Source organism: Homo sapiens, chromosome 4 (genome assembly GCF_000001405.40).
Source record: "Homo sapiens chromosome 4, GRCh38.p14 Primary Assembly".
NCBI lineage: Eukaryota > Metazoa > Chordata > Mammalia > Primates > Hominidae > Homo > Homo sapiens.
In genome coordinates, this window is record NC_000004.12 from 38436196 (window position 1) to 38461172 (window position 24977).

General features: G+C 41.9%; 1 long non-coding RNA gene across 1 annotated transcript in view, besides 2 other annotated features; it reads right to left on the reverse strand.

Moving 5' to 3' along the window:
* Positions 1–24977, reverse strand: part of LINC01258 (long intergenic non-protein coding RNA 1258) — a 102519-nt gene that overhangs the window by 15534 nt on the left and 62008 nt on the right. The window contains exons 3-6 of the long non-coding RNA NR_110951.1: positions 17028–17726; positions 16378–16619; positions 14980–15044; positions 13749–13845 (exon numbers count right to left, since the gene is read on the reverse strand). This is a non-coding gene — a long non-coding RNA (long intergenic non-protein coding RNA 1258). The remainder of the gene's footprint in view (positions 1–13748; positions 13846–14979; positions 15045–16377; positions 16620–17027; positions 17727–24977) is intronic.
* Positions 15939–16088: an enhancer, noted in NCBI's record as "active region_21434". NCBI's record gives its function as "activates an Ori minimal core promoter by ATAC-STARR-seq in GM12878 lymphoblastoid cells {active_cell/tissue: GM12878}" and the evidence as "EXISTENCE:reporter gene assay evidence [ECO:0000049][PMID:35858748]".
* Positions 16099–16168: an enhancer, noted in NCBI's record as "active region_21435". NCBI's record gives its function as "activates an Ori minimal core promoter by ATAC-STARR-seq in GM12878 lymphoblastoid cells {active_cell/tissue: GM12878}" and the evidence as "EXISTENCE:reporter gene assay evidence [ECO:0000049][PMID:35858748]".

The window sequence follows — 24977 nt, forward strand, 5'->3', positions numbered from 1 at the left end:
ACATTTAAGCTTAATATTATTATGTGTGAATTTGATCCTGTCATCATGATGCTAGCTGATTATTTTGCACATTAGTTGATGCAGTTTCTTCACAGTGTCATTGGTCTTTATATTTTGGTGTGTTTTTGCAGTGGCTGGTACCAGTTGTTCCTTTCCATATTTAGTATTTCCTTCAGGAACTCTTGTAAGGCAGATCTGGTGGTGACAAAATCCCTCAATATTTGCTTGTCTGTAAAGAATTTTATTCCTTCTTCACTTATGAAGCTTAGTTTGGCTGGATATGAAATTCTGGGTTGAAAATTCTTTTCTTTAAGAATGTTGAATATTGGCACCTCACTCTCTTTTGGCTTGTAGTGTTTCTGCAGAGAGATCCACTGTTAGTGTGATGGGTTTCCCTTTGTAGGTAACCTGACCTTTCTCTCTGGCTGCCCTTAACATTTTTTCCTTCATTTCAACCTTGGAGAATCTGATGATTATGTGTCTTGGGGTTGCTTTTCTCAAGGAGTATCTTAGTGGTGTTCTCTGTATTTCCTGAATTTGAATATTGGCCTGTCTTGCTAGGTTGAAGAAGTTCTCCTGGATAATATCCTGAAGTGTGTTTTCCAACTTGGTTCCATTCTCCCTGTCACTTTCAGGCACACCAATCAATCATAGGTTTGGTCTTTTTACATAGTCCCATATTTCTTGAAGGCTTTATTCATTCCTTTTCATTCTTTTTTCTCTAATCTTGTCTTCATGGCTTATTTCAGTAAGTTGATCTTCAATCTCTGATAACCTTTCTTCCACTTGATCAATTCAGCTATTGATACTTGTATATGCTTCATGAAGTTCTCATGCTGTGTTTTTCAGCTCTATCAGGTCATTGATGTTCTTCTCTAAACTGGTTATTCTAGTTAGCAGTTCCTGTAACCTTTTATCAGGGTTCTTAGCTTCCTTGCTTTAGGTTAGAACATGCTCCTTTAGTTCAGAGGAGTTTATTATTACCCACCTTCTGAAGTCTACTTCTGTCAATTAATCAATCTCATTCTCTGTCCAGTTTTGTGTGCTTGCTGGAGAGGAGTGGCGATCATTTGGAGGAGAAGAGGCATTCCGGGTTTTGAAATTTTCAGCATTTTTGCACTGGTTTTTCCTCATCTTCGTGGATTTATCTTTGACATTTGAGGCTGATGACTTTTGGATGGGGTTTTTGTAGGGGGTCCTTTATGTTGATGTTGATGTTGTTGCTTTCTGTTTGTTAGTTTTTCTTCTAATGGTGAGACCCCTCTTCTGCATGTCTGCTGCAATTTTCTGGAGGTCCACTCCAGATACTGTTCACTTGGGTATCACTGTGGAGGCAGTAGAAGAGCAAAAATTGCACCTTCTTCTTCCTCTGGAAGCTTCATCCCAGAGGGCCACTGGCCTGATGTCAGCCAGAGCTCTCCTACATGAAGTGTCTGTCAACCCCTGTTGGGAGGTTTCCCCCAGTCAAGAGGCACGGGGGTCAGGGACCCACTTTAGGAGGCAGTCTGTCCATTAGCAGAGCTGCTGTGCTGTGCTGGGAGAATCCCTCTTGTCAGGATCAGCTGCTCCCTTCAGAGCCAGCAGGCAGGAAGGATGAAATCCTCTGAAGCTACACCCACAGCCACCCTTTCCCCCAGGTGCTCTGTCCCAGGGAGATGGGAGTTTTGTCTGTAAGCCCCTGACAGGAGCTGTTACCTTTCCTTCAGAGATGCCCTGCCCATTGAGGAGGAATCTAGAGAAGCAGTCTGGCTACAGCAGCTTTGCTGTGCTCTGGTGGGTTCTACCCAGTCCAGACCTTCTGGCCTCCTTAGCACTATCAGAAGAAAACCACCTACTAAAGCCTCAGTAATGGTGGACACCCCTCCCCCCACCAAGCTTGATCATCCCAGGTTGACTTCAGACTGTTGTGCTAGTAGCAGGAATTTCAAGCCAGTGGTTCTTAGCTTGCTGGGCTCCATGGGAGTGGGATGCACTGGGCGAGACAACTTGGCTCCCTGGCTTCAGCCCCCTTTCCAGGGGAGTGAATGGTTCTGTCTTGCTGGGGTTCCAGGCGCCACTGTGGTATGAAAAAAAACTCCTGCAGCTAGCTCAATGACTGCCCAAACAGCTGCCCAGTTTTATGCTTGAAACCCAGGTCCCTGGTGGTGTAGGAACATGAGGGAATCTCCCGATCTGCAGATTGCAAACACCGTGGAAAAAGTGTAGTAACCTGCTGAGTAGCACAGTCCCTCATGGCTTCACTTGGCTGAGGGAGGGAGGGCCTTGGGCTCCTTGCACTTTCTGAGTGAAGTGATGCCCCACCCTGCTTCTGCTTGCCCTCCATTGGTCAGACTCACTTCCTAACCAGTCTTAATGAGATGAACTGGGTATCTCAGTTGGAAATGCAGAAATCACCTGCCTTCTGCATTGGTCTCACTGGGAGCTGCAGACTGGAGTTGTTCCTATTCAGCCATCTTGGCCCCTCCTCTGACTGAAATGTTTCTATCATTCTTATGTATATGAAAAAAACCTAGGCATTACCATTCAGGACATAGGCATGGGCAAGGACTTCATGTCTAAAACACCAAAAGCAATGGCAACAAAAGACAAAATTGACAAATGGGATCTAATTAAACTAAAGAGCTTCTGCACAGCAAAAGAAACTACCATCAGGGTAAACAGGCAACCTACAAAATGGGAGAAAATTTTCGCAACCTACTCATCTGACAAAGGGCTAATATCCAGAATCTACAATGAACTCAAACAAATTTACAAGAAAAAACAAACAACCCCATCAAAAAGTGGGCGAAGGACATGAACAGACACTTCTCAAAAGAAGACATTTATGCAGCCAAAAAACACAGGAAAAAATGCTCATCATCACTGGCCATCAGAGAAATGCAAATCAAAACCACAATGAGATACCATCTCACACCAGTTAGAATGGCGATCATTAAAAACTCAGGAAACAACAGGTGCTGGAGAGGATGTGGAGAAATAGGAACACTTTTACACTGTTGGTAGGACTGTAAACTAGTTCAACCATTGTGGAAGTCAGTGTGGCGACTCCTCAGGGATCTAGAACTGGAAATACCATTTGACCCAGCCATCCCATTATTGGGTATATACCCAAAGGACTATAAATCATGCTGCTATAAAGACACATGCACATGTATGTTTATTGTGGCATTATTCACGATAGCAAAGACTTGGAACCAACCCAAATGTCCAACAAAGTTAGACTGGGTTAAGAAAATGTGGCACATATACACCATGGAATACTATGCAGCCATAAAAAATGATGAGTTCATGTCCTTTGTAGTGACATGGATGAAATTGGAAATCATCATTCTCAGTAAACTATCACAAGGACAAAAAACCAAACACCGCATCTTCTCACTCATAGGTGGGAATTGAACAATGAGATCACATGGACACAGGAAGGGGAATATCACACTCTGGGGACTGTTGTGGGGTGGGGGGAGGGGGGAGGGATAGCATTGGGAGATATACCTAATGCTAGATGATGAGTTAGTAGGTGCAGCACACCAGCATGGCACATGTATACATATGTAACTAACCTGCACAATGTGCACATGTACCCTAAAACTTAAAGTATAATAATAATAAAAAAAAAAGAGAAAAAAACAGCATGGCTTCTCCTGTTGCCTCAAGTGTGGTCAAACACAGTTGGGATGCTAAGGGTTAAAGGGAGGGAAAAAAATACTTGGAGACAGAAAGACCAAATTGTTATTAAACCAACCCATTATTTAAAACCCTTTCTTTCTCAGAAAGTGAAAAGGAAAATGGGCTGGTATGTTTGTATAAATAGTAGCCGTGTTATACTCCATCTGGGAAAAAGATTATCAATGTTATAATTACATATTTCAGTTGAAAAGAACCTAACTGCCCTTTTTATTGCAAATGCATCCACTTTTTCTCAGATGACTAAGATGTGGTCAAACCTTCACCTCAACTCCTGGCTCTAATGGGATCATTTGGGCAAAAACTTCCTATTCATAGCCCTCAATTACTCCCACTGCAACTAAAAGTTTATAGAATTTCAGAGTTGGAACAAGTAAGAGTCATCTACCCAAGAAAATGTGGGTGGGAACACGACAGTAGGTCTAAGATGGGGCCAAGTACTTAGGATCTGAGCCCCAACTTTTTTCAAACAAGGAACTGCCTCATTTTTTCTTCTCTATGTATTTGTCTTCCACCTAAGATTTCATTCATTTGTAGAAAGAGTTTTATGGGTTAAAAAAAGACAAAAGCAAATAAACAAGTTTGAAAGCCACTGATTTGGCCCAACATCTCATCCAATGCTACTGTATCCCTGCCAAGCATTCATTTAGTCTATGCTGCAGGATCCCTGGGAAGGAGACCTCCCTATCTTATGAAACAGATTATTCTATTGAATCTTTAGAGAACAGAAACTGTCAGAAAGCCCTTTCTTCTATTGAGGCCAGGGGCATCTTATACACTCTCATACCTGGTAGTACCAAACTATTATCACCTATTCTTAGAGAAAATAGAGGAGGATAAAAAAGAAGGAGGTGCAAGAAAAAGAGAATAAGAAAGAAGGATAGGAAAATTATAAGAAATAGAACAATTTCATGATGTGTTTGCAAAATTCAGTCATTCCACCCTCATAATTTTTGCCATATTAAGCTATATTCATATTTTCTTAACAGCTTCATTGAGGTATAATTGATATTCAGTAAGCTGAACATGTTTAAAGTATACAGGTTGATGAGTTTTGACATGCATATACACTCATTACCACAATCAAAATGCTGAACATATTAACCAATCCAAAAAATTTCTTTGTACCACTCTGTAGTCTCTCCCACACACTTCTCTCTGACTTTCATCTACAGGCAATAACGGATCTTCTTTCTATCATTACAGATTAGTTTGCATTTTCCAGGTGTTTATATTAATGGACACATTCAATATACACTCCATTTTCATCTTTTTTTATTCTTCTGGTTTCATTCACTCAGTATGATTATTTTGAAATCCATCCATGTTGTTGTGTGTATCAGTAACGTATTTCCTTTTGTGACTGAGAAGTTTGCCATTGTATGAGTGTATCACAATTTGTTTATCTATTTGCCTTGATGGACATTTGAGTTGTTTTCAATATTTGGCTATTATACATAAAGCTTATATGAATATCTGTACCAGTCTTTATATGAACACATGCTTTCATTTCTCCTGTATATCTAACAGTGAAAGGGCTGAATCATTGCATAGTTGTATATTTAACTTTTTAGGAAACTGGAAAACTGTTTTTCAAATGGACTTACCATAGTTTGTTCCTACACTCAATGTATGAGAGTTCCAGTTGCTCCATACACTTGTCAACACTTGCTATGGTCAGTCTTTTTAATTTTAGCCATTCTAATAGGTGTTTAGTGGTATCTCATTAGGGTTTCAATATCATTTCTCTAATAACTAATGGTGTTGAGCATATTTTCATAAGTTTATTTACTAACCACAAATATTTTTTGCTAAAATGTCTCCTCAAATCTTTTGTCCAGTATTGAGTTGTTGGTTTTCTTAGTGCTGAGTTTTTTATTTATTGTGAAGACAAGTCATTTAGCAGATAAGAGATTTTCAAGTATTTTACCCAGTTTGTGACTTAAAAAAAATTCTTCTAAGAGCATCTTTCTAAGAGCAAAAGTTCTTTTGATAAAGCTCAATTTATTTTTTATCTTTTATGAGTTGTGCGTTTTGTGTTGTGTCTAAAAAGTCTTTGTCTAACCCAGAGCTACAAAGGAGAATCACTTGAACGTAGGTTTTCTTCTAGAAATTTTACAGTTTTATGTTTTACATTTAGGTCTTTGATCCATTGTGGATGAACTTTTGTATCTAGGATGAGATCTAGATCAAAGGTTTTGTATGTTTGTGCTCACAGATAGTAGAGTTTCCAGCACCATTTGTTGAAAAAAAAAAAAAAAAAACTATAGTTTCCAGGGCGTGTTCCTTCTCATCTTTTCAGCTGCTCCTTTCTCAGCCTGTGATCATTTCCTCCCATGCATCACTGGTCAGGCTCCTCTATACACAGTCAGTTATCTGGAACACTGTCTGTGCGGGTCTTTTCTCTCTTAGTCTGCCCTGTGAACTCCAGCTATCTTGGCTTCCCTGGGCTCCCAAATGTGGATCTGGAATCAGGAAAACCACCACTCAGCTCTGCCTGCATTCCCCAACACTGCATCATGATCTAGAAATGTTCTCCAGGTAATAAGAGCTCAGGGGGTTACAGGGTTCACATCATTTGCTTCTCATCAATTAGGGATCCTTATTCTTCATTGCCTGGTACCCATAATCTTGAGTACTGTTGCTTCATATGTATATTCACATTTTTGACTCTTTCAGGTAGGAGGCTAAATTTGGATCTGGTTACTCCAAAGGGGACTGGAAGTGGAAATCCCCCATAGTCATTTAACCTAACATATCCGTTTTTAAAAGACTAACGTTTCCTTTACTCACCCTAAGCATTTATAATAATGTTACAATAATAATCACAGATTTGAGACATTGGCATTAAATTTTTATTCTTTTTTTCTCTTACAGTTGCATATTGATTCACACATTCGTTATTTATTTATTTATTTTTTATTATACTTTCAGTTTTAGGGTACATGTGCACAACATGCAGGTTTGATACATATGTATACATGTGCCATGTTGGTGTGCTGCATCCATTAACTCTTCACTTAACATTAGGTATATCTCCCAATGCTATCCCTTCCCCCTCACCCCACCCCACAACAGGCCCCAGAGTGTGATGTTCCCCTTCCTGTGTCCATGTGTTCTCATTGTTCAATTCCCACCTATGAGTGAGAAGATGCGGTGTTTGGTTTTTTGTCCTTGCGATAGTTTGCTGAGAATGATGGTTTCCAGCTTCATCCATGTCCCTACAAAGGACATGAACTCATCCTTTTTTATGGCTGCATAGTATTCCATGGTGTATATGTGCCACATTTTCTTAATCCAGTCTATGTTTGTTGGACATTTGGGTTGGTTCCAAGTCTTTGCTATTGTGAATAGTGCCACAATAAACATACATGTGCATGTGTCTTTATAGCAGCATGTTTTATAATCCTTTGGGTATATACCCAATAATGGGATGGCTGGGTCAAATGGTGTTTCTAGTTCTAGATCCCTGAGGAATCACCACACTGACTTCCACAATGCTTGAACTAGTTTACAGTCCTACCAACAGTGTAAAAGTGTTCCTATTTCTCCACATCCTCTCCAGCACCTGTTGTTTCCTGACTTTTTAATGATCGCCATTCTAACTGGTGTGAGATGGTATCTCATTGTGGTTTTGATTTGCATTTCTCTGATGGCCAGTGATGATGAGCATTTTTTCCTGTGTTTTTTGGCTGCATAAATGTCTTCTTTTGAGAAGTGTCTGTTCATATGCTTCACCCACTTTTTGATGGGGTTGTTTTTTTCTTGTAAATTTGTTTGAGTTCATTGTAGATTCTGGATATTAGCCCTTTGTCAGATGAGTAGATTGCAAACAGTTTCTCCCATTCTGTAGGTTGCCTGTTCACTCTGATGGTAGTTTCTTTGCTGTGCAGAAGCTCTTTAGTTTAATTAGATCCCATTTGTCAATTTTGTCTTTTGTTGCCATTGCTTTTGGTGTTTTAGACATGTAGTCCTTGCCCATGCCTATGTCCTGAATGGTATTGCCTAGGTTTTCTTCTAGGGTTTTTATGATTTTAGGTCTCACATTTAAGTCTTTAAGTCTTTAATCCATCTTGAATTAATTTTTGTATAAGGTGTAAGGAAGGGATCCAGTTTCAGCTTTCTACATATGGCTAGCCAGTTTTCCCAGCACCATTTATTAAATAAGGAATCATTTCCGCATTTCTTGTTTTTGTCAGGTTTGTCAAAGATCAGATAGTTGTAGATATGTGGCATTATGTCTGAGGGCTCTGCTCTGTTCCATTGGTCTGTATCTCTGTTTGCTACCAGTACCATGCTGTTTTGGTTACTGTAGACTTGTAGTATAGTTTGAAGTCAGGTAGCGCGATGCTTCCAGCTTTGTTCTTTTGGCTTAGGACTGACTTGGCAATGCAGGCTCTTTTTGGTTCCATATGAACTTTAAAGTAGTTTTTTCCAATCCTGTGAAGAAAGTCATTGGTAGCTTGATGGGGATGGCATTCAATCTATAAATTACCTTGGGCAGTATGGCCGTTTTCATGATATTGATTCTTCCTATCCATGAGCATGGAATGTTCTTTCATTTGTTTGTATCCTCTTTTATTTCATTGAGCAGTGGTTTATAGTTCTCCTTGAAGAGGTCCTTCACATCCCTTGTAAGTTGGATTCCTAAGTATTTTATTCTCTTTGAAGCAATTGTGAATGGGAGTTCACTCATGATTTGGCTCTCTGTTTGTCTGTTATTGGTGTATAAGAATGCTTGTGATTTTTGTACATTGATTTTGTATCCTGAGATTTTGCTGAAGTTGCTTATCAGCTTAAAGCGATTTTGGGCTGAGACGATGGGGTTTTCTAGATATACAATCATGTCATCTGCAAACAGAGACAATTTGACTTCCTCTTTTCCTAATTGAATACCCTTTATTTCCATCTCCTGCCTGATTGCCCTGGCCAGAACTTCCAACACTATGTTGAATAGGAGTGGTGAGAGAGGGCATCCCTGTCTTGTGCCAGTTTTCAAAGGGAATGCTTCCAGTTTGTGTCCATTCAGTATGATATTGGCTGTGGATTTGTCATAGATAGCTCTTATTATTTTGAGATACATCCCATCAATACCTACTTTATTGAGAGTCTTTAGCATGAAGGGCTGCTGAATTTTGAAAAGGCCTCTTCTGCATCTATTGATATAATCACGTGGTTTTTGTTGTTGGTTCTGTTTATATGCTGGATTACGTTTACTGATTTGCATATGTTGAACCAGGCTTGCATCCCAGGGATGAAGCCCACTTGATCATGGTGGAGAAGCTTTTTGATGTGCTGCTGGATTCAGTTTGCCAGTATTTTATTGAGGATTTTTGCATTGATGTTCATCAGGGATATTGGTCTAAAATTCTCTTTTTTTGTTGTGTCTCTGCCAGGCTTTGGTATCAGGATGATGTTGGCCTCATAAAATGAGTTAGGGAGGATTCCCTCTTTCTCCTTTGATTGGAATAGTTTCAGAAGGAATGGTACCAGCTCCTCCTTGTACCTCTGGTAGAATTCAGCTGTGAATCCGTCTGGTCCTGGATATTTTTTGGTTGGTAAGCTATTAATTATTGCCTCAATTTCAGAGCCTGTTATTGGTCTATTCAGAGATTCAACTTCTTCCTGGTTTAGTCTTGGGAGGGTGTATGTGTCCAGGAATTTATCCATTTCTTCTAGATTTTCTAGTTTATTTGCATAGAGGTGTTTATAGTATTCTCTGATGGTACTTTGTATTTCTGTGGGATCGGTGGTGATATCCCCTTTATCGTTTTTTATTGCTTCTATTTGATTCTTCTCTCTTTTCTTCTTTATTAGCCTTGCTAGTGGTCTATCAATTTTGTTGATCTTTTCAAAAAACCAGCTCCTGGAGTCATTGATTTTTTGAAGGGTTTTTTGTGCCTCTATTTCCTTCAGTTCTGCTCTGATCTTAGTTATTTCTTGCCTTCTGCTAGCTTTTGAATGTGTTTGCTCTTACTTCTCTAGTTCTTTTAATTGTGATGTTAGAGTGTCAGTTTTAGATCTTTCCTGCTTTCTCTTGTGGGCATTTAGTGCTATAAATTTCCCTCTACACACTGCTTTGAATGTTTCCCAGAGATTCTGGTATGTTGTGTCTTTGTTCTCATTGGTTTCAAAGAACATCTTTATTTCTGCCTTCATTTCGTTATGTACCCAGTAGTCATTCAGGAGCAGGTTGTTCAGTTTCCATGTAGTTGAGTGGTTTTGAGTGAGTTTCTTAATCCTGAGTTCTAGTTTGATTGCACTGTGGTCTGAGAGACAGTTTGTTATAATTTCTGTTCTTTTATGTTTGCTGAGGAGTGCTTTACTTCCAACTATGTGGTCAATTTTGGAATAGGTGTGGTGTGGTGCTGAAAAGAATGTATATTCTGTTGATTTGGGGCGGAGAGTTCCGTAGACGTCTATTAGGTCCGCTTGGTGCAGAGCTGAGTTCAATTCCTGGATAACCTTGTTACCTTTCTGTCTTGTTGATCTGTCTAATGTTGACAGTGGGGTGTTGAAGTCTCCCATTATTATTGTGTGGAAGTCTAAGTCTCTTTGTAGGTCTCTAAGGACTTGCTTTATGAATCTGGGTGCTCCTGTATTGGGTGCATATATATTTAGGATAGTTAGCTCTTCTTGTTGAATTGATCCCTTTACCATTATGTAATGGACTTCTTTGTCTCTTTTGATCTTTGTTGGTTTAAAGTCAGTTTTATCAGAGACTAGGATTGCAACCCCTGCCTTTTTTTGTTTTCCATTTGCTTGGTAGATCTTCCTCCATCCCTTTATTTTGAGCCTATGTGTGTCTCTGCACGTGAGATGGGTTTCCTGAATACAGCACACTGATGGCTCTTGACTCTTTATCCAATTTGCCAGTCTGTGTCTTTTAATTGGAGCATTTAGCCCATTTACATTTAAGGTTAATATTGTCATGTGTGAATTTGATCCTGTCATTATGATATTAGCTGGTTATTTTGCTTGTTAGTTGATGCAGTTTCTTCCTAGCCTCGATGGTCTTTACAATTTGGCATGTTTTTGCAGTGGCTGGTATCGGTTGTTCCTTCCCATGTTTAGTGCTTCCTTCAGGAGCTCTTTTAGGGCAGGCCTGGTGGTGGCAAAATCTCTCAGCATTTGCTTGTCTGTAAAGCATTTTATTTCTCCTTCACTTGTGAAGCTTAGTTTGGCTGGATATGAAATTCTGGGTTGAAAATTCTTGTCTTTCAGAATGTTGAATATTGGCCCCCACTCTCTTCTGGCTTGTAGAGTTTCTGCCGAGAGATCAGCTGTTAGTCTGATGGGCTTCCTTTTGTGGGTAACCCGACCTTTCTCTTTGGCTGCCCTTAACATTTTTTCCTTCATTTCAACTTTGCTGAATCTGACAGTTAAGTGTCTTGCAGTTGCTCTTCTCGAGGAGTATCTTTGTGGCATTCTCTGTATTTCCTGAATTTGAATATTGGCCTGCCTTGCTAGATTGTGGAAGTTCTCCTGGATAATATCCTGCAGAGTGTTTTCCAACTTGGTTCCATTCTCCCCGTCACTTTCAGGTACACCAATGAGACGTAGATTTGGTCTTTTCACATAGTCCCATATTTCCTGGAGGCTTTGTTCGTTTCTTTTTATTCTTTTACTCTAAACTTCTCTTCTCGCTTCATTTCAATCATTTGATCTTCCATCACTGATACCCTTTCTTCCAGTTGATCAAATCGGCTACTGAGGCTTGTGCATTCATCACGTAGTTCTTGTGTGGTGGTTTTCAGCTCCATCAGGTTATTTAAGGACTTCTCTGCATTGGTCATTCTAGTTAGCCATTCTTCTAATCTTTTTTCAAAGTTTTTAACTTCTTTGCCATGGGTTCGAACTTCCTCCTTTAGCTCAGAGTAGTTTGATCGTCTGAAGCCTTCTTCTCTCAACTCGTCAAAGTCATTCTCCATCCACCTTTGTTCCATTGCTGGTGAGGAACTGCGTTCCTTTGGAGGAGGAGAGGCACTCTGATTTTTAGAGTTTCCAGTTTTTCTGCTCTGTTTTTTCCCCATCTTTGTGGTTTTATCTACCTTTGGTCTTTGATGATGGTGACGTGCAGATGGGGTTTTGGTGTGGATGTCCTTTCTGTTTGTTAGTTTTCCTTCTAACAGTCAGGACCCTCAGCTGCAGGTCTGTTGGAGTTTGCTGGAGGTCCACTGCAGACCCTGTTTTCCTGGGTATCAGCAGCAGAGGCTGCAGAACAGCGGATATTGGTGAATAGCAAATGTTGCTGCCTGATCGTTCCTCTGGAAGTTTTGTCTCAGAGGAGTACCTGGCCGTGTGAGGTGTCAGTCTGCCCCTACTGGGGGGTGCCTCCCAGTTAGGCTACTCGAGGGTCAGGAACCCACTTGAGGAGGCAGTCTTTCCGTTCTCAGGTCTCCAGCTGCGTGCTGGGAGAAACACTACTCTCTTCAAAGCTGTCAGAGAGGGATATTTAAGTCTGCAGAGGTTTCTGCTGCCTTTTGTTGGGCTATGCCCTGCCCCCAGAGGTGGAGTCTACAGAGGCAGGCAGGCCTCCTTGAGCTGCGGTGGGCTCCACCCAGTTTGAGCTTCCTGGCTGCTCTGTTTACCTACTCAAGCCTCAGCAATGGCGGGCACCCCTCCCCCAGCCTCGCTGCCACCTTGCAGTTTGATCTCAGACTGCTGTGCTAGCAATGAGCGAGGCTCCATGGGCGTAGGACCCTCCGAGCCATGTGCAGGATATAATCTCCTGGTGTGCCATTTGCTAAGACCATTGGAAAAGTGCAGTATTAGGGTGGGAGTGACCCGATTTTCCAGGTGCCGTCTGTCACCCCTTTCTTTGACTAAGAAAGGGAATTCCCTGACCCCTTGCACTTCCTGAATGAGGCAATGCCTCGCCCTGCTTCAGCTCATGCTCGGTGCACTGCACCCACTGTCTGACACTCCCCAGTGAGATGAACCTGGTACCTCAGTTGGAAATGCAGAAATCACCCATCTTCTGCATCACTCACGCTGGGAGCTGTAGACTGCAGCTGTTCCTATTTGACCATCTTGACTCCACCCCCCTTAAATTTTTATTCTAATGCACATTAACGTAAATATCACACTATTTTTTATGTCTATTTATATTCACCTGTTTTGGCGTGAAAGGTAATATTACGTTGAAAAACATCTTTTTTTTTCTCTTTTAGTATTAAACTTTTATTTTAAGCTCAGGGGTAGATGTGCAGGTTTGTTTAGATAAACTTTTGTCATGAGGGTTTGTTGTACAGATTTTTTTTTTTTTTTTTCTTTTGGAGATGGAGTCTCACTCTGTCACCCAGGCTGGAGTGCAGTGGTGTGATCTCGGCTCACTGCAACCTCCACCTCCCAGGTTCATGCAATTCTCTCCTGCCTCAGCCTCCTGAGTAGCTGGGATTACAGGCACATGCCACCACGCCTGGCTAATTTTTGTATTTTTACTAGAGACGGGGTTTTGCCATGTTGGCCAGGCTGGTCTCGAACTCCTGACTTCACGTGATCTGCCTGCCTCAGTCTCCCAAAGTGCTGGGATTCCAGGCATGAGCCACCATGCCTGGCCTGTTGTACAGATTATTTTGTCATCCAGATGTTAAGCCTAGTGTACATTAATTACGTTTCCCAATCCTCTCCCTCCTCGACCCTCCACCCTCTGCTGGGCCCCAGTGTCTGTTGTTCCCCTCTCTGTTTCCATGTGTCAACATCACACTATTAACATTTGTAAATGTATATCTGTGTATCACCCCCAAATTATCATGCTTACCCTATGAGTACCCGTACCACAGATTGAGCAAAACCAGCTTTAAGTACTCAGCTCGGCTGCCCTGCGTTAGTCACCTCCCTCCACCAGTGCATACCATGAGCATAAAATAGTTTCTGGGAGGTCAGTGATTCACTTGGTATTTACTTGTTTTCTAGACTTTAGGAAAAAGGAAATCTTTCTATATGAAAATCATGTACACATCTACAGAAAACCTCATCTTTGTTGTGTTCCAGAGCTTTAAAAGCAAGCAGCACATCTGCTGCAACATCCTCTCATGCCTGCATCAGAGCCTGGAGCCCACCTTGACTGGCGCCCACACCTGGCAGGAAAGGTGAAGGTCCTGTGCTTGCTCCTCCTCTGCTCTGCTGGTCACCAGCTGGTGGGTCAGTCAGCTGGACCTGCACAACATTGAGGAGGCTGGTGGTGACCGCTGCAGCTCTGCATAGTTGGGGATTTGGGGATGTGGAAGGAAATTGTTTAACTCTCTGGTGGAATCAAACCAATCAATATCGCTATTTGGGCTTTCAATTAAAAACAGAACAATAAATCCTATCCTCCTTTTTCGCAAAGCTTCACTTATGTCCTACATTTGTGTTACTGACAGGAAGTTGGGGGCTGCAGAGAGTAAATTTTGGTATGCTAGGTATATGCCCCTACAAGGAAGATCAGTGCTCAATAATAATGAGAAGACTTCCTGGCTTTTCCTGCCAACTCCCAGGAAGGGTTTACTGCCTTGCAAAGAGTTCTAACTTCTTCAAAACAAGCTCTCAGGAAAGGGCCGGAGAGTAGCTCTTTGTTAATCATTGATTTTACTGAAGTGATTCCAGGGATCGCAGGTGCAAACAGCCTGTAGGACCAGCTTTAGAAAAAGCCATGTCACAAAGACACGTGGCATTTGACGTGCACATCAGCATTAGAGATCAAAAGGGACTCTGTGTCTGTAGGACTGGAGAAGGTATGACCTGTCTAAGGAAGACCCCCTGGTGCCAGTTGTTGGTTTGTGTGTGTGTGTGTGTGTGTGTGTGTGTGTGTGTGTGTGTGTGTGTGTTTGTTTTGAGATGGAGTCTGGCTCTGTTACCCAGGCTGGAGTGCAGTGGCACGATTGCAGCTCACTGAAACCTTGGCCTCCAGGGTTCAAGTGATTCTCCTGCCTCAGCCTCCTGTGTAGCTGGGACTACAGGCATGCGCCACCAAGCCCAGCTAATTTTTGTATTTTTAGCAACAGGGTTTCGCCATGTTGACCAGGCTGGTCTCGAACTCCTGACCTCAGGTGATCCACCCACCTTGGCCTCCCAAAGTGCTGGTATTACAGGCATGAGCCACTGTGCTGGGCCGCCAGCTGGTTTTGATATACATGTTCTAGTCTTCCGATTTGTAAAATAATCCGAAGATACAGATTTTTTTTTCCCATGAGAAATTTCCTGGTAGTTTGTAACTTTAGAAACAGATAAAAGAAGGACACTGAAGAATCTAAAAACCAAAAATGAGTGGACTGAACCATAAGTCACCATTGGACAAACTTTTGGCATTACCTTTTATCACAGGACTCCATATTGTAGAACTTCTCTGCCATTGTTGTATAAAGAAGTTGATTCCTCTTTATCAGTTGGATAGGGTTATGGAGAAGTCAAGAGAGTGAGAGATGGAATAAACAGATTAGATTGTGTTAAAGTTCTGCTTTTTTGGTAAACATAAAACTGGTTCAATATCTGCAGTTTCAAAAAGTTTAACCTAGGTTCCTCAAAAAATTAAAAATAGAATTGCCATATGATCCAGCAATTCTACTTCTGAGTATACAACAAAAAGAATGGAAAACAGGATCTCAAATAAATACTTGTACATCCATGTTTATGGCAGCATAGTTCATTGTATTAGGCTGTTGTTGCATTGTTACAAAGAAATACCTAAGACTCAGTAATTTGTAAGAAAAGAGGTTTAATCGGCTCATGGTTCTGTAGGCTGTGCAGGAAGCATAGCAGCATCTGCTTCCAGGGAGGTCTCAAGAAGCTTCCAGTCATGGTGGAAGGCAAACAGGAAGCAGCCACATTTCATGGCAAAAAAAATAGGAGCAAGGAGCGGGGGAGGTGCCAAACACTTTTAAATGATCAGATCTCACAAAAACGTACTATCACTAGGACAGTACCAAGGGGGATGGTGATAAATCATCCATGAAAAATCCACCCCCATGATCCAATCACCTCCCACCAAGCCCCACTTCCAATATTGAAGATTACATTTCCATATGAGATTTGGGTGGGGACACACACCCAAACTCTATCATTCATAATAGCTAACATGTAGGAGCAACCCAAGTGTCCACTGATGAATGAATGGATAAACAAAATGTGGTACACACATATAATAGAATATTATTCAGCTGCAAAAAGGAAGGAAATTCTGACACATGGATGAAACTTGAGGACAGTATGCTAAGTGAAATCTGCCAACAACAAAAAAAGACAAATAGTGCATGATTCCACTTATATGAGGTACTTAGAATAATCAAAACCATAGAAACAGAAAGTACAGTGGTGGTTGCCAGAGGCTTGTGTGGAGGAGGGAATGGAGTTACTGTTTAATGGGCACAGAGTTTCAGTTTTACAAGATGAAAAGAGTTCTGGAGGTAGATGGTGGTGATGAACATATAGCACTACAAATGTACTTAATACCACTGAACTGTATACTTAACATGGGTAAGATGGTAAATTTTATGTTATGTGTATTTTACCACAATTTTAAATAACTGAGGAATAAAAAGTTCAGCCTGTTAGAGTTGTTGACAAATATAATGACTATTCACATAGTCCTGTGATCTAAAGTTACAATTCTTGCTATTTAGTAGCAGGGTATAAAGAGCATTAAGTAAGGAAAGCTAACTGCTGTTACATGTAAAATGGCTCAAGCATAGTAAGAGTTTATGTCTCACTCACTTACACAGTCCAGGGCAGTTCCAGATTACCACGGGATCTGCTCAACATGTTGTTCAGGGACCAAGGCTGAAAGACAGCTTCTGCCATCTTCAATACTCAGCTTTCAAAGTCATCCCCTGTGTCAATATCCAGCAGCAGAAGAAGAAAGAATATGGGAGGTTTCTATGGGCCGGTCTGGGAGTGGCTGGCATCATTTTTGCTCACATTTCACTTCAAGGGAAGCTAGAAAATGCATTTTCATGCTGTGCCAAGAAGGAAAGAAAATGGTTCGGTGACCAGCTGGCAATCTCTGACACATAAAGGAGGGCCCAAAGTAAACTGGCTATGAGGTTAAAATTTGGGAGAGTATGCACACCAATTTCAGGAAATGTTGCTGGCTCAGATACTTCAGAATTCAAGGAAAGATTTAGGAAACACAATTTTCTAGGGGACTCATCAAATTCAGATTTGGGAGAAATGTTCAGGCCATTTTGTAAATTAGCTTTACCAGTGGTCAGTAGAAAGAACCTGGACCCTGCTACTAACTGGGTCTGTGATCCTGGAGCAGTTTTAACTGGTCTTAGATTAATATTTCCTTTCTATCAAATGGAAATTAAAATATATAATTATCAGCATTGTTCTAAGAATTTGAGGCAATTTATGTAACATACCTGTATGATACACAGTTGTTACAAATCCAGCCAAATGATTATCCAGGCTCTGTGAAAAATATCTCCATGAGCAGGGAACTCAGTGCCTCCAATGTCTATGCAGACCTGACAGCCAGAAATCTTTCTCTTCAGCAAAATCAGTTTTCCCGTTGAACCATACTTCTATCTACTGAAACTACACAGAACAAAGTGAATCATTCTTTCACAGGCCAGTTCCTCAGACATTTGAAAGTGGCACTCCTACTTACTCTAAATCTGCTCTTCCAGTTTCTTCAACTTTGAATTTCTCACCAATCATGTTGCTGTTATCTGAACACTTCTACTTTGTCTTTAGGCCCCTTGAAATGTGATTCACAGATGAGAATACTGCACCCCAAGTAAGACTGGACCAGCATAGAGTACGATAGTAGCATTCCTCCTTTTGTTTAAAAATGTATTTGTCAGGGTTAGGGTATCAGTTATGCTGCTGTAACAAAAAGACTTGAAAATGCAATTGTTCAAATAAGAGAGAAATCTCTTTTTCTCTCATGTAACAGTTCAACGATAGGCAGGTTGTCCAGGACAAATGTGTGGTTTATTCAAACACCAAAGTTTCTTTTACTTTCAAGCTTTTCTGTCCTGTAGGATATTGTTGTCTGTATGGTGACATCTGGTCTGCCAATGCAGACCTGCCAATGCACATCCAAGTTCCAGCCTACCCTATAGGGAGGAAGAAGGAGAGGAAGTGGAATGACATTCTTTTATGGCAGTGAACACAAGTTATGCCCATCACTCCTCAATTCTGCTCACCTTCCATTAGTGAGAGCTTAGTCACATGGTCATAGCCAGCTGCAAGGGAGACAAGGGGGTGTCAATTCTATTTCGGAGGCTAGGAGGACAGTGGAACAATGTATTTTGCTAAAACTGGCAGTGGGTTCCGTTACTAGGGACAAGTGGAAAATGGACACAGGACAATTGATTAAGCATCTCTGCCATGAGAAACTATGCAAAACAAAGGAAAGAAGTACCCCCAATTAAAAGGCATTAGGAATAACTAGCAAGAATAGGAAAAACTGCTAAGATGAAATGAGGGAAAAGAATAAGTAGGATATCTATAGCTCGGCTACATAGCAAGCTAGAAGGTAACATGACACATGATTAAACCAATTCAATTGCTATAGTTGTTGCCCAGAAAATACGTGACTAAACTTGGTGGATGCTTTAACAAGAAATTGGAGTTACAAGTTGTAATTGTTTAAAGTACTATGTATTACAATGATGAACAGTGGTTCATCATCATAGTGGAAATAGCCTTTCCTAGAAAAAAAAAAAAAAGTGAGAAACCTCTGTGAAATGAGAAGTATTACTCTCTTTCCTGTTCTGCGAGGAACAGTGGGATTGACTGAACTAAACAGGACTTTCCAAGCTCTAGGTTCAGTTATCCTATCCTCAGAGGAACAGGCAATTTAATCTGGAAGTTCTCAAAATGGCAATAAATGAAAAAGCAAATAAATCGGGGAAAACAAACATTTTCATCATGGAGTGGGGTAGAAATAATTACCGTGAAATACGCTAAATGCCTAGCTTGGTTTCTGATGGTTTCTTGGGGTTTTAAGATTTCATTTTCATGATCCATTGGCCACAAATCATTGAAAATACCAAGAAGTAAAATATGCCTTTGACTAAATGCATACATGCCCCTCAGCTTTTAGTAGGACTCAAATATTGACATTTGGAAGGAGGAATTTTTTTTCCCACATGCTAACAACAATCATCCCCAACATCACTGTTGAAAAACACAACCGTACGCCCTGCGGAATATTAGTCAATTAGGCAGCACTGTCATTTCATTAAAAAGAATACTATGCTCACTTATTTCATTGCTATTATAGAAGAGAAATCAATGCTAAAGTGACCGCATTTTACCTTCTCCATTGTGAAATGATAGTTGATGGTTAGTACACTCTCAAGAAGCGATGTCTGAGAATGTGGAGTGTGCTAGGCTGAAAGACAGAACTAAAATGGGTTCTACCCAGCAGCCTAACATGCTGCTAAAATTTCCCTGGGTCAACTTTCTGTTAGAATCACTTTCAGAAAAGAATAGAGGTTTTTCGAATGTGAAATCATACTGTGGAATGGGAAAGTCCCCATTCTTGAGCAAGAAGATCTCAAGAAAAAGATTTTGAAATTTTAAAATGAATGCAAAGGCAACCGCTCAAGGAGAGTTTAGTTTGCTTCTCTCGGCATCTGTTCTGTGGGATTCCTTTCTTTCTTCCCCAGAGGTAATTCTCAATAACCTCCTTCTAGAACGAGGCTTTGAAGTCCTCTGCACACCTGTGTAGATTATAAAGCAGAGAGGCTGGTCTTCCACACCCAAACTCTAAATTCACAATGCAACACAACAGTTAAAACATGCCCTCTAGCATCTTGTTTAAAAGTTAAACCCAAGCTTGATATAATCTGAAGTGGTTAACCCTTGCCCAGATTGAGCACATACTTCCCGTGCTGAAGAAGGAGAATAGACTCTCTTTATGTATAACTCTTTCTTCAGAAGTGTACACATGATCTGGGTAAATAGGCTGATGTCTCAGAACACTAGAGGGATTTTTTTGGCTGTCCTTGCTCTTTGCTCAGGGGCTAAAAGTGACAAAATCTGTACCTCTGATAGCTTCCTCCACCTCTTTGGCTTCTTAGATTTTGAATTAACATGTTATTGACACTACTAGGGAATGAATGAAGGGGTGACTTCTTTTTCTAACATTGCCTGAGTCATGGCCTTAATGCCATTCTCTTCCTTCAGCACTGGAGTCTGGCCGTGTTTCCTGACATGGGGATGGGACTGCAGGGTTACAGGGAGAGTGCAAGAGGCTGGCACTGGAGAAGTCAAGACAAAATGTGAGGGCCTGGACTGGGTTGGGGTCAGGAGTATGAGAAGCAGGTGGTCCAAGAGATGGCCATGCTGGCCAGGCACAGACACCAGAAGAATAGCAAAGAGAACTTGATTCTGAGCCACATGTTTGCCCATGGGCAGGAAGCTCCTGCTTGCTTCCAAGTGGGGTGGGACCAAACTATGAGCCCCGCCAGCCCAGGCTGTGCAGGTGCAGGCAGGGAAGTGGCTGCACCTGGCTCAGGTGGGTGTGTAGGTGGAAACTACAGGCAGGCACCTGGTTTCTGGCTACAGATTTGGGTTCTGATCCAATGCCACTCCCTGACCTCATGAAAGATGAACTCCCTGGCTCCCTCCTTGGAGTCCAAGGATCCTTCTTCCCAGCCCACTTTTCAGTCTGACCTTGACCTTGTGGCTTCAGCTTGGCCATGGTTCCTAGACTGGTTCTAACTTCACCCTGTGTCTAAGATCAACCTTCCTGGTCCTGATAGGGCTGGTAAGGACCCTATCCCCTTCTTGGCTACAGAAGAAGTAGAGTTCTTTCCTCTTTGGGACCCAGTCCTGCTATTTTCAACCTCTAGTTAAAATGAATCTCTAGGCAACCAACATTACGTTGTTACTAAGAATTTTATTTTATTTTTTAAAAATCTTTCTTACAGTCCATTTTTTCAATCCCTGGTTCTGGCCTTGACGCATAGGAAGAAATCATGATATGCAGGAGATTTGGCCAGGATCCTCAATCTTGGAATCTCCAATTAACTCAGACCACAAAAGATCCCCAGGGGACGCCTTTCTCTTTGTCCCTTGTACTTCTCTGGCCTCCTCCCTGTGAGTTGGATTGGACACAGATGAGCCTGCTGACCCTCACATGGAGGCAGCCTAAGAGGCTTCTCTAAGTTTCCTTCTTTCTGATCCACAGGTTGAAGGAGCAAATCCCTTCCCCTACACCAGGCTGCCCACCAAGTGGGAGGTTGCTGCCAGCCTGTCTCACTGCACCTGCCCCAAGACATGGACTCAAACAAGAACTAGTGAAGAGACAACCAAATTATGTCACATACTATTTTTGCTTATAAATTCTATTCCCTCTTACCATTATATGTTTTTTCCCTAAATACTAAAACCTTAGAGAATCCATTCTTTCTCATGCTCATTTCAGAGCTTCCCAACTTTGTGAGCACAATTTCTCTTCCCAGACAAAAAAGTGCATATACACAAACAACTTGCAAACAGTTTCAGGATGCTCATGGAGCCCTGAAGCCCCTCCATGAACTCCACCCTGCCCCTGAGGTTAGTATGTGCCTTCTGACTTTGAGGAATTGACTTTCAGACACTTTCACCAGGCCTTTTTGGATCATCTATTTTGATTCAAAACAATTGTCCAACACATTCTCTTGGCTGTGTGCAGCTCCTCTTTCCGTTCTCTCTCCATCCAGTCACACCTACATTATCATCATCGAGATTATCCTCATTCTTCACATCATACCTCCTCGGCTCCATCTTCTACCCTAGACTTTTCCTAGGAGACACATTAGTAAGGGAAATCCCAGTTTTATTGTGTGAAAATATCTTACAAGTACTAATACTATATATATAGTATTAGTTCATTCTCAAACTGCTATCAAGATACTGCCCAAGACTGGGTAATTTATAAAGGAAAGAGTTTTAATTGACTCACAGTTCCACATGGCTGGGGAGGCCTCAGGAAACTTAAATTATGGCAGAAGGCAAAGGGGAAACAAGGACCTTCTTCACTTGGTGGCAAGAGAGAAAAGTGCAAGCAGAGGATACGCCAGATGCTTATAAAACCATCAGATCTTGTGAGAACTCACTCACTATCACGAGAACAGCATGGGGGAACCACCCCCATGATCTAATCACCTCCCTCCCTCAACATGTGGAGATTACTGGTCCCTCCTTCAACGTGTGGGGATTACAATTCAAGATGAAATTTGGGTGGGGACAGAGAACCAAACCATATCATACATATATGATCAAATATCCCTGGAGGACCCCTACCACAGTCTTGGAAAGACCTACATAAGTGAGGGGCCCAAAGCTCCAGCTTCATTCACTCCACGACAAGCCCATCTCTGTATGTGAGCCTGGAAGAGGTAATCCCAACTGGCCCACCAGAAGGATTTCCTGCTCAGAGATTCACCATCTATTTAGATATATTTTTGCACACAGCTCAGAGCTCCTGTAGCTTCTTTTTCTCAGAAAACCTGCACCTTACCGGTGAGTACAACAGCAAAAGCTTATTATGATTAATTAGATTTTTAATTAATGCCTCACCACATAATTAAGAAGAAGCCCTTGGAGTAAAACCCTAACTCAATATTCTTCCTTTCATTAATTCTCTCTGCCTAATAGCAGAGGAAAAGATGAAACAAGGAGTGTGGTATGTGTTAGTTTTTATTCTCCCAAGAGGTTATAAAGAAAATGTCAGAATGGCAGAATTGGCTACAGTGTCTCCCTATAAAAAGTTCTCTTTTTGGTTCCCTTTCTCTGGGATTCTTTCTCATTTTTATTATTCAATTCATTTTAATCCAGCAACATTTACTGAGCAGCTACTATATGCTGGGCACTGTTATAGGCACTCTGGAGACTCAAAGAGGGTAACTACCTATTTCTGCCCTCCAGGGAATCCAAATCTTAGAGGGGCAGCAAGGTGCAAAGATAATTGGTACAAAAAGAGATAATGGAGGATAATAAAGAAATGACCATCAGTACAGCTTGAAATGGACTCTGGTGACAGTTCCCCAGTAAGGATCCCAAATCTGATTTGAATACTCACATGTCATCAGGGACCAGGCATGGTGGTAGAGATGTTACATTATCTTTAATTCTCACAATTTAGGGTAGAGGTCAATGAAGAGATGAGGACCTTGTCCATGATGCCTCCATCTAGCTAAATCCCCTCACAACATCCTTTTATAGCACCCATTATTTGCCTGTCATTATACGCATCCTCTGCATAATTGTCCAATGCCCTCCCCAAGGTAGGCTCCATCAGAAAAGGGATTGTGTGTCTGCCTTGTTCACCACTGTATCACAGCACTTAGCACAGACTAGTATGAAGCAGAAATTCACTAACTATTTGGTGAATGTATGGAGGGAGGAGAGAGGGAGAAAGGGAGGGAGCAAAAAGGAGAAGGAAGGAAGCGAGGGAAGGAGGGAGGGATTATAAACACATCAAAGCCATGATTCTACCCTAGGTCTGACTCCCTTAAAAGTCCATAAGCTTTCTCCTCTACCACACTAACTTTCAGGATATTAGAGTGTGTGCACAAGCCTCAAGATGACTTCTGGGAAGGAAAATGCTCACCCATGTGTGATCTGTTTGGGAATGTTGAAAACCATTCTTCTTCCATGATTGTTGCCCCTTGTATGTGCCAGTGGGAGCAAGCTGTCCAGGCCAGACAGAGCAGCACTCATAGCCTCTAGGGTTCCCACACTATCCATCCAGCCACTCCGATCTCCCAGTGCTAGGGATGATTCAGTGCCCGTCTTCCCCTGCACGTGGCCTCCAGAGAGACACTGAGGCCCTGTATACCCAGCTGAATGTGGAAAAAATCCTTGTCCTTTTTGTCTGCCCAAATCAAGATTGGCAATCCTCTGAAGAAACTTTTACTAATCAAACTAAGAAACAAAAAAACAGTTTCCCAGGAGACTAAATGTTGATGAGCTCACTGAGAATATATGTTGCTAAGCCATACTTACCTGAACTGAGATTAATAGCACAGCTTACAAGGTAAACTCCCAAATTTTCTCCCTTTACCCTGCCTATCTGGGATGGATGCTAAGGTAAAATATTCAGTTTTTTTTCCTCCAAAGTAGATGTGGCTTGATACATCTTTCCTATCCGGTGAGAGACCAAGTCTCTCTCAGAACCACTCCCTGGTCCCCCTGCTTACCCTAAACTCTCTTCTCTGGCCCTGAGCTAAGTCCCCTCATTTGCAACCAGGGCCAGCTTCATGGGCATTTGACCAGTGCAGTTGCAGAGAGCCCCATGCTCAGAAGGGCCTGGAGCTTGGGGTTTAATGCTCTACAGTCACTATATTAAAATTCTTAAAAATGTTATCTTTGAATTTGTATTATGAAACTTAAGTTTAATGGGACAATGAAGAATACAAGAAAGAGGGTGGCTCAGAGGATTTGTTCACAAACCATCCAGCTTCCCAATGCCCCACCGCCTCCCAGAGATGGGTGCCCAGCCACCTACTTCTTCCTCTGGTACCCTGGGTCCCACCTAGACCAGAAGAGCAACAGCTGAATCTGGCCTCCTTATGGCTGCACCCACTCAGCGACCACTGTTGTCTTCTGGCCCAGCAGGAGTCTGGGCATTGATGTGGGAATGGCTGGGGGTCTGCATATGTGCCCTGCGAAGTCTTGGGGCTGAGCATTGCAGCAGCCATCCCTGCCCCAGGTTGGCAGCATTACAATACATGCGTTGGGCAGGTGATTCTGCAGGATGAGCCTCTCACCTAGCCCTGATCCACATTCCTACCATACATCTCATGTGGAGGTTGCAATACCCTTGGGGATCAGCCTATCCACCATAGGTGGAGGTGGCAGATCTGTGGGAAGGGGAGATGTCTGCCTCGACCTGCCTGTTCCTGGCCAGGGATGATGTGTTAGTGTCGTGGTGGCTGGGAGGGAGAACCTGGGAACAGGTGGGCCAAGTGTTCCGAGTCAGGGGACAGGTAACTGACAGTCAGTAACTGCCCTAATAAAAGTGTCCCTGTGCACAACACAATATTAAATGACAAAAAACAGAAACAAAAACATTACGACAGGTTGACAGAGCGACCTTGGAAGAAAAATGTCTTATATTTTAATACCTTTAACACATCTTTCATCCTGCTCTTTGAACAAGAGCATTTTTAGTTTGCACTGGATCCTACAAATTATGTAGCCGGTCCTGCCTGTAACACCCTTCCTGTCATGATACTTATCCTTGGGATGAAAAAACACTGCCCTATCTTGTCCCCAAGAAGTCTTCCCTATTGAGCTCCAGGCCAGTGTTTAGTGACCACGTGGCAGCCTCCATGACCCATCACACCTTGTGGGCTCTATGATGTTAA